Source organism: Homo sapiens, chromosome 17, assembly GCF_000001405.40.
Source record: "Homo sapiens chromosome 17, GRCh38.p14 Primary Assembly".
Taxonomy (NCBI): domain Eukaryota; kingdom Metazoa; phylum Chordata; class Mammalia; order Primates; family Hominidae; genus Homo; species Homo sapiens.
Window position 1 is genome coordinate 43,584,195 of NC_000017.11, and position 10,053 is coordinate 43,594,247.

Below are 10,053 nucleotides of genomic sequence, written 5' to 3' on the forward strand. Positions count from 1 at the left end.
TTACCAGAAATCTCACTAAACTCCATCCCTGCTCTCTGTTTCCACCAGCAGTGCCTTGGTTCAGGCCTTTATCATTCCTCCCTGAATTAATGCAAAATATCCCAACTGACTTTTCTACCTCCCCACACTTCCAGTTTCAATCCCTCCTTTCCATGGTTGCCAGCATTCTCTTTCAAAAAACAGATCAAAACATGCCATCTTCTGTCTATAAGCTTCCAGAGTCTCCCCATTGCCAACAGAATAAAATCCCATTTTTAATCTCAGCATTCAAGGCCTTTCATAGTCTATGCTGAGTTTATTTCACCTGCCACCCCAGCCCATCACCTACTTTTTAATTTTAAAAATTTTAAATTAAAAAATTTTAATTAAAAAAAACTGTTTTGTAGAGACAAAGTCTCATTATGACGCCTAGGCTAGTTTTGAAATCCTGGCCTCAAGAAATCCTCCTACCTCAGCATCTCAAAGTGCTGGGATTACGGGTATGAGCCACCAGGCCTGGACCCATCACCTACTTTTACTGTATGCTTTGCTCAGCCTCCTGGCCTGTAATCACAATGCTTTCTTTCACACTCTGCCTTAGCACATACAGGTTCTTGTCTGAAAAGTGCTAGTCCGTCTGTCTCGCACAATTCTACTTGTGTCCTACTCTGCGAAATCCCTCCCCACTATCAGCTAAATAGTTGTCCTCTCTAAATTTCCACATTCCTTTATCTTCAAAGAGCACACATAGCTTCGTATTGCAGTTATTTTTCTTTATCTATCTCACTGTACTAGGCTGTAAATATTTTGAGGCCAAGGATCATGTCTGACTCAACCAATGCCTGGCAGTGTCTGGCATATATAGTCAGTGGATGCCTATTACTGAAGAAATTAACGAATGAACAAATGAATGAGTGATTTTGGTTTCTGGGCCTACGTCTTTCTTTTTTTTTTTTTTTTTTTTTGAGACGGAGTCTGGCCCTGTCACCCAGGTTGGAGTTCAGTGGCGCAATCTTGGCTCACTGCAAGTTCCGCCTCCTGGGTTCACGCCATTCTCCTGCCTCAACCTCCCAAGTAGCTGGGACTGCAGGTGTCCGCCACTACACCCGGCTAATTTTTTTGTATTTTTAGTAGAGACAGGGTTTCCCCATGTTAGCCAGGATGGTATCGATCTCCTGACTTCATGATCTGCCCACCTCGGCCTCCCAAAGTGCTGGGGTTACAGGCATGAGACACCGCACCTGGCTCCTGGGCCTATCTCTTCCTAGGCTGTGAATATAAACTGTGGTGAGTAGGGCTTGGGAATACATCTCACACCCTGTTTGTCAACATTTCCCCAGGACAATGCCTGGCACAATGCTCTCAGTGCTGATGCATTGGATGTGCAAAAGGTCCTGGGTTCAGGCCAATTTAGATTTCTTTGGCATGAAGAGCAGCAAATTAACATTCCTCTCTCCCTATTACAGATGAGACAGATGAGCTTAGAAATCTTAAACAACTCAGCAGGCTGGGCGCGGTGGCTCACGCCTATAATCCCAGCACTTTGGGAGGCCGAGGCGGGTGGATCACGAGGTCAGGAGATCGAGACCATCCTGGCTAACACGGTGAAACCCCATCTCTACTAAAAAATACAAAACATTAGTCGGGCGTGGTGGTGGGTACCTGTAGTCCCAGCTGCTCGGGAGGCTGAGGCAGGAGAATGGCGTGAACCTAGGAGGCGGAGCTTGCAGTGAGCCGAGATCGCACCACTGCGCTCCTGCCTAGGCGACAGAGCGAGACTCTGTCTCAAAAAAAAAAAAAAAGAAAGCTTAAATAACTCGTCCTAGGTGTATGGTGGCATCAGATAATCTAAGGGACAGGGGCATTAGGGGTTACTGACCAATGTGGAGCCCTCAGCACACATGGAATGATTGTGATCCCAAGCAGAATTAATGTGGGCACATTGTTCTCTGCAGGCTGTAGGTCTTCTCACTGGGGCTTGTATTCCAGGAAGGGGCCTTCTCTGGCTGGCCCAGATTTAGAGTGAGGGGAGTGAGGAACTCACCACAGGCCCAAAATGTAAGGGGCACCGAGTAATCAAGATAAATAAAATTTAATGCATTTTTTTTTTCTTTCAGAGACAGGGTCTTGTTCTGTGCCTCAGGCTGGAATGCAGTGGCACAGTTATGGCTCACTGCAGCCTGGAACTCCTGGGCTCAAGCAATCCTCCTGCCTCAGCCTCCTGAGTAGCTGGAACTACAGGCATGTGCCACCACGCCCAGCTAATTTATTTATTTTTTGTAGAGACAGGTTCTTGCTATGTTTCCCAGGCTGGTCTTGAACTCCCGGCCTCAAAAAATTTTCCTGCCTAGGCCAGGCATGGTGGCTCACGCCTGTAATCCCAGCACTTTGGGAGGCCGAGGCAGGCCGATCACAAGGTCAGGAGATTAAGACCATCCTGGCTAACATGGTGAAACCCCGTCTCTACTAAAAATACAAAAAATTAGCCAGGTATGGTGGCAGGCACCTGTAGTCCCAGCTACTAGGGAGGCTGAGGTAGGAGAAGGGCGTAAACCCAGGAGGTGGAGCTTGCAGTGAGCCGAGATTGCGCCATTGCACTCCAGCCTGGGCAACAGAGCGAGACTCCATCTCAAAAAAAAACTTTTCCTGACTCAACCTCCCAAAGTGCTGGGATTACAGATGTGAGCCACTGTGCCTGGCCTAATGCAATATTTTTGTTGTCAGTAAACTACAGTCTGTGAGCTGGCTGCCTGTTTTTTAAAACAAGGTTTTATTGGAACCAAGACTGAGATTAGGGTGAGGTGAATGAGACACGATATTGAGGGAAGGGTTGGATCTTGTGTTTATTTGAAATCTTAATATTTTGTTCATCATCAATTTTTACATTAATTTTGATTTTTTTTTATTTTGAGATGGAGTCTCGCACTGTTGCCCAGGCTGGAGTGCAGTGGCGCGATCTTGGCTCATTGCAAGCTCCGCCTCCTGGGTTCACGCCATTCTCCTACCTCAACCTCCCTAGTAGCTGGGACTACAGGCACCCGCCACCATGCCCGGCTAATTTTTTGTACTTTTAGTAGAGACAGGGTTTCACCGTGTTAGCCAGGATGGTCTTGATCTCCTGACCTCATGATCCACCCGCCTTGGCCTCCCAAAGTGCTGGGATTACAGGCGTGAGCCAATGCACCTGGCCAATTTTGATTTTTAAAAATTGCGTTAAAGTATTATCTATCTTGGACCGGGCACAGTGGCTCATACCTGTAATCCCAGCACTTTGGGAGGCTGAGGCAGGTGGATCACCTGAGGTCAGGAGTTGGAGACCAGCCTGGCCAACATGGTAAAATCCCGTCTCTACTAAAAATACAAAAATTAGCCAGGCATGGTGGTGATGCATGCCTGTAGTTCCAGCTACTAGGGAGGCTGAGGTGGGAGAATCGCTTGAGCCTGGGAGGCAGAGGTTGCAGTGAGCCGAGATCATGCCACTGCACTCCAGCCTGGGGAACAGAGTGAGATTCCATCTCAAAAACAACAAAAAAGTATTATTGTATTTGTCACTTTTCACGCTGCTGATAAAGACATACCTGTGACTGGGCAAATTACAAAAGAAAGAGGTTTAATAGAGAATTCACAGTTCCACGTGGCTGGGGAAGCCTCGCAATCATGGAAGAATGCAAGGAGGAGCAAGTCACATCTTACACAGATGACAGCAGGCAAAAAGAGAGAGCTTGTGCAGGCAAACTTCTGCTTTTTTTTTTTTTAAACCATCAGATCTCATGAGACTCATTCAGTATCACACGAACAGTGCAGGAAGATCTACCCCCATAATTCAATCACCTCCCACTGGGTTCCTCCCATGACACGTGGGAATGGTGGGAGTTACAATTCAAGATGAGATTTGGGTGGGGACACAGAGCCAAACCATATCAGTTATCTATCTTGATTTCTGAGTTTTGGGGCACTCCCTTAAGTTGTGTTGGAGGCAAATGCCTTAATTGTCTCTTAGGGCCTTCCCCCATTGTACCGTGGGTTCTAAGATGGGCAGCTGCCAGTAAAGACTGGGCCCTGGGGTTCAGTTCCCTTGGTTCCCTGGCTGACTGCAGCCCCAAGCAGCCTGGACAAAACAGCTGTGGGCAGATACTTCCTGTCCCTCAGGAATTGTTGCATGAGGTTTTGGTTTGGCTTCTTTAGGAAATTAGGTCTCCCTTCATCCACTGGTGTTTCTTTGTTGAACAGCTGTCATCAGCCAGCCACCAAACGTGACAGAATTGGGTTTCTCACACTGTTGCCCAGGCTGGGGTGCAGTGGTGCAAACATGGCTTACTGCACCCTCAATCTCCCAGGCTCAAGTGATCCTCTCATCTCAGCCCCACCAAGTAGTTAGGATTACAGGTGTGCACCACCACACCTGGCTAATTTTTGTACTTTTTGTAGAGAAGGGGTTTCACCATGTTGCCCAGGCTGGCCTCAAACTCCTGAACTCAAGTGATCTGCTTTCCTTGGCCTCCCAAAGTGCTGCAATTACAAGCACCGGCCTGGCTTCTAAATGTCTTCTAAAGCCTGCCCTCCTCTGCATCCCCACTGCCCTGCTTGTCAGCCCTGCTCTCTTCTGACTGTCCTCCTGCCTCCAGCCCCACCCCTTTCCACACCAGCCTTCACAGTGCCACCAGGGTCACCTGGACAAAGTGCACATATCCCCTTGGTGTTTCCCTGCTCAACTCTCCAGTGCCCTCGGCACGGAGTCCCAATGCAAAGGCAGTTTCACCAATGCCCTGACCTGACAGACTTTCTCCTTGATCAAACCTGAGTCAGGGTCCTCTGGGTCCTCTTTTTGACAGCATCTTGACCTTGGGCTGTGTCCTTGGGCAATTTAGTCCAGTTGTAGCATGAATCCTGCCAGGCCCATTTAGCAAAAATCCCCTATCCTTCCTATCTGATGAAATTCCTCATCCTCCACCCTTGATATCGCATCACCCTGGCCTGCCTTCAGCAGGAATCCCCTGGCCTGAATGCTTCTCCTTAGTGATTTTCCATCCACTGACCCCACCCTGTTCCTTGGCTATAAATCTCCACTTGTCCTTGTTGTCTTTGATCGCTTTTCCCTATTGCCAAACCCCAGTGTAGCAGCCCCGCCCCCCTTAAATAAGATCTTCCTTACTGTCTTTAATAAGTGTTAAGAATAATTTTTTCTCAGCCGGGCACGGTGGTTCATGCTTGCAATCCCAGCACTTTGGGAGGCTGAGGCGGGTGGATCAGCTGAGGTCAGGAGTTTGAGACCAGCCTGCCCAACATGGTGAAAACCCATCTCTACTAAAAATATAAAAACTAAAGGCGGGCGTGGTGGTTCGTGCCTGTAAGCCCAGCACTTTGGGAGGCTGAGGCAGGAGGATCACAAGGTCAGAAGATCGAGACCATCCTGGCTAACATGGTGAAACCCCGTCTCTACTAAAAATACAAAAAATTAGCCTGGTGTGGTGGCGGGCGCCTGTAGTCCCAGCTACTCAGGAGGCTGAGGCAGGAGAATGGCGTGAACCCAGGAGGCGGAGCTTGCAGTGAGCCGAGATCGCGCCATTGCACTCCAGCCTGGGTGAGAGTGTGAGACTCTGTCTCAAAAAAAAAAAAAAACCATATATATATATATAGTTTATATATATGGTTTATATATATAGTTTATAGTTTATATATATGGTTTATATATATAGTTTTTATATATATAGTTTATATATACATATATATATAAACTAGCCGGGGGTGGTGGTGGATGCCTGTAATCCCAGCTACTCGGGAGGCTGAGGCAGGAGAATTGCTTGAACCCAGGAGACGGAGGTTGCAGTGAGCCAACACGGTGCCACTGGACTCTAGCCTGGGTGACAGAGTGAGACTCTGTCTCAAAAAAAAAGAATAATTTTTTCTTTAACAGAACAAATTGCCTCCCTGAGTCGGACCAGCTGCCCGTGGATCCTACGCTGCAGTCACACCAGACTCCTCATGTTGTGGGGTAAGTGTGTCCCCTTTCTTTCCTGCTTCTGTCTTTATACACACAGTCCCTTTCCTTTGATACGTTTTCTCCTCTCGTCTGCCTCTGAGCCAGCCCCAAGAGTCTTCTCCGTGCTTCCTGACTCCTCTCTGCTTAGCTGTTACCCCATTTGTTCCTCTGCACCATAGTTAAACCTATTTACAGGTCTGTGTCCCCCACCAAACTGTGAGCTCCTTGAAGGCAGGCGATGTCCATTTTGTATCCCCCCGAAAACCATCCCCCTACCCCCAGTACAGACTCTGGCACAAAATAGGCATTAAGTAAATGAATGAAGGAATGAATGGATGGAAAGGATGCCATTGTAGGGGGGAAAGAGTAATATCTATTACTTTTATTTAAAAAAAACTTTTAATTTCCACTTCTAGGCATATATCTTTTCCTTATCTGTCACAAAGTTCATGGCTTGAGATCCCTATAACAAAAGATAGATTAACAAGAGAAAAGCATACACATTTATATAATAAGTTTCCGTGACATGGGAGATGAAGACCCAGGGAAATAGGGAATACTGTGTATATTTTATGCTTAGGTTTAATGAGGAGTAGAGCGTTGTGTAGAAACATGATGGACGAGGCCAGGCGTGGTGGCTCACGCCTGTAATCCCAGCACTTTGGGAGGCCGAGGCGGGTGGATCACTTGAGGTCAGGAGTTCAACACCAGCCTGGCCAACAGGATGAAACCCCGTCTCTACTAAAAATACAAACAATTAGCTGGGCATGGTAGCGCACGCCTGTAATCCCAGCTACTCGGGAGGCTGAGACAGGAGAATTGCTGGAACCCAGGAGGTAGAGGTTGCAGTGAGCGGAGAACACACTACTGCACTCCAGCCTGGGAGACAGAGCGAGACTCCATCTCAAAAAAAAAAAAGAAGAAGAAATATGATGGAAGAAAGGGGGTATGATCTAATAGTAATCAACTTGGGGGAGCTTAGCAAGGCCTGTTTCTTCAGATTCTTCTCTGCTTCTTCATTCCTTTCCTCTGGATATAGGGAGGACCCCTCTGGAATGAGGGTCTTATGACCTACTTTAGAAGAAAGACAGAAAATTCTTTCATGATCTGCTTCAGGGGAGAATAGTAGCAGCAAGTCAGAGAGATCTTCCTCCTTCTGCTGCTTTTGCCGAGGTGCTGTATTTTGGGGTAGCATGTCCTGAACTCCATCACCATCTTGTTTGCCCCTTTAGGATCTGCCAGCAAGATTTTGAGCAAAATCCTAATCTCTGGCCTCATTTTAGAGCTTGTAGCATCAGGTTTGGAGGCTAGGGGTTCCTGGTGCCCCAGCACCAGAGAGGAGGGTGAGAAGGCCACCTTGGGAGAGCTGGGCCATTTCAGGGGAGGAAATTAAAACTAAATTGCATTAATTGGTTTTCATATTGAACCCTGCTTCTTAAGTGTGCTAAATGTCTGGTTAAACAAATAGCTAAAAAGATAGAATCACTTTGCTATCATTTTTTGTGGTAAGGGAAAAGACAAAAAAACAAAGATGTTGATTTAAGATATAGCCTAGGGCTGGGGGGCTGGGGGAAACCTGGTGAAGGCTCCTGTTGTTTGGGGTCGGAGGTCGCAGGAGCAGCGGCTGCCTGGGGATCAGGCTCAAGGTTCTGGAATGATGGAAAAACCTGGCCTGACGCTTTTCCTCAGCGGACCCTTCACTGGCTAACAGGAGCCAGCTGAGCGAACACAGAGGCGCTGTAACCGGCGCAGATCCCAGCTTCCTCTGAAATTTCCAGGCCTCTTTTTTCCTGTCGGATTCCAGACAGATGAAATTTTCCTGGCCCCGGCCCATTCCTGGCAGCATCTCCCCTCTGAATCATCATAAATCAGGGCTTGGCGGGGAGCGGTGGGATTTTCCTGATTTTCCTGATCGACACGCTGCTGCCCTGGTAAAATGGGGCTCCGTTTCCAAGGCTAAAAATAGCTCTGGGGTGCTTGCCTGAGTTCTCCCCATCGCAAGTTGCTGCTTCGTATTGTAAATATTCATATCTGTCTATGATTATTATTTCATCGAGAAGGGCTGTGGACGTGCAGATGCGGGCCGCTGGGGGCCTCGGTGGTCTGAAGTGACACCATTGTTCACAGGATCATATGCGGGGGCCTGTGCATTCCTCAAAGCCTCCATCATCCAAGGAGCCCCCAATTAATTTCAATACAAACACCGGATATGGCCTCCCCCGCGCCTTTGCAGCCATAACACATGAGGTCATGCTGCTTTGGTTAACCCGAGGAGTTGCAGAGTGAGATGGGGAGGCTTCTAGGCCCCAGGGGAGGCCTGGGGTATCTGCCCTGCCTGGTTTAGGCGAGGCTGTTTACTGCAATGGGGTCTACGGCACACCCACACTCTCTCGCCTTCCTTCACTCAGAAACTGAAATCTCTGATTCCCGATGTCTCTTCCCAGCCACTCTCCCCATCTCTAGCCACTTGGCTGCCAACCCACCACCCACCCCTGTGGTTCTTTGCAAACTCCTTACCCTCCGTGCTCTTGCATACACAGCTTCATTCACCTGGGGCATCTTTTTACCTCTTCATCAGGCTCCTTCTGGAAGATTCACCTCAGGAGTTTCTTCCTTCAGGAAGCATTTCCTGATCACTCCATTCAGGGTTAAGTACTGTTTTCTTGGCTGGGAGCAGTGGCTCATGCCTGTAGTCTTGGTACTTTGGAAGACGGAGGCAGGCGGATCACTTGAGCTCAGGAGTTCGAGACCAGTCTGGCCAACATGGTGAAACCACATCTTTACTAAAAATACAAAAATTAGCTGGGCACAGTGGTGCATGCCTGTAATCCCAGCTACTCGGGAGGCCGAGGCAGGAGAATCGCTTGAACACAGAAGGTGGAGGTTGCAGTGAGCCGAGATTGCGCCAATGCATTCCAGCCTGGGTGACAGAGTGAGACTCCATCTCAACAACAACAACAAAATTAAATTTAAAAAAAAAGTACTTGCTGGGCGTGGTGGCTCGCGCCTGTAATCCCAGCGCTTGGGGAGGCCGAGGCTGGTGGATCACCTAAGGTCAGGAGTTCAAGACCAGCCTGGCCAACATGGTGAAATCCCATCTCTACTAAAAATACAAAAAAGTAGCTGGGCATGGTGGCAGGCGCCTGTGATCCCAGCTACTCAGGAGGCTGAGTCAGGAGAACTGCTTGAACCCGGGAGGCAGAGGTTGCAGTATGCCGAGATCATGCCATTGCACTCCAGCCTGGGCAACAAGAGCAAAATTCCATCTCAAAAAAAAAAAACTACCACTTTCAGCCGGGCAGGGTGGCTCACGCCTATAATCCCAGCACTTTGGGAGGCCGAGGTAGGTGGATCACAAGGTCAGGAGATCGAGACCATCCTGGCTAACACAATGAAACCCCATCTCTACTAAAAATACAAAAAAATTAGCCAGGCGTGGTGGTGGGTGCCTGTAGTCCTAGCTACTCAGGAGGCTGAGGCAGGAGAATGGCGTGAACCTGGGAGGCGGAGCTTGCAGTGAGCCGAGATCACTGCAACTGCACTCCAGCCTGGGCAACAGAGGGAGACTCTGTCTCAAAAAAAAAATTCCACTTTCTCTTCTGTGTTCCTACAGCTTATTGATTCTCAAACATTAGCCCTCATCAGAATCGCATGGAGGGTTTGCTAAAACACCGATTGCTGGGCCCCTCCCAGTTTCAGAATCAATAGGTCTGAAGTAGGGCTTGCACATTTGCATTTCTAACAAGATCTCAGGAGACACTGATGCTGCTACAGCCCCCTGTGATCACTTCCTCCATTGGTGGAACTTACCCTGCTGTGCTGCAATTACCCGCCTTTTTCTTTTCTTTTCTTTTTTTTTTTTTTGTTTGAGACAGGGTCTCACTCTGTCACCCAGGCTGGAGTGCAGTGGCGCCATCTTGGCTCACTGCAACCTCTGCCCCTGGGTTTAAACAATTCTCCTGCCTCAGCCTCCCGAGTAGTTGGGATTACAGGTGCCTGTCACCACACCCGGTTAATTTTTGTATTTTTAGTAGAGACGGGGTTTCACCATGTTGGCCAGGCTGGTCTCAAACTCCTGACCTCAAGTGATCCAC

At 48.4% G+C, this 10,053-nt stretch overlaps 1 annotated feature.

Moving 5' to 3' along the window:
• Positions 7,989-8,488: an enhancer, noted in NCBI's record as "H3K4me1 hESC enhancer chr17:41669551-41670050 (GRCh37/hg19 assembly coordinates)". NCBI's record gives its function as "activates a minimal SCP1, AML or CMV promoter by ChIP-STARR-seq in primed H9 embryonic stem cells {active_cell/tissue: H9 hESC(primed)}" and the evidence as "EXISTENCE:reporter gene assay evidence [ECO:0000049][PMID:30033119]".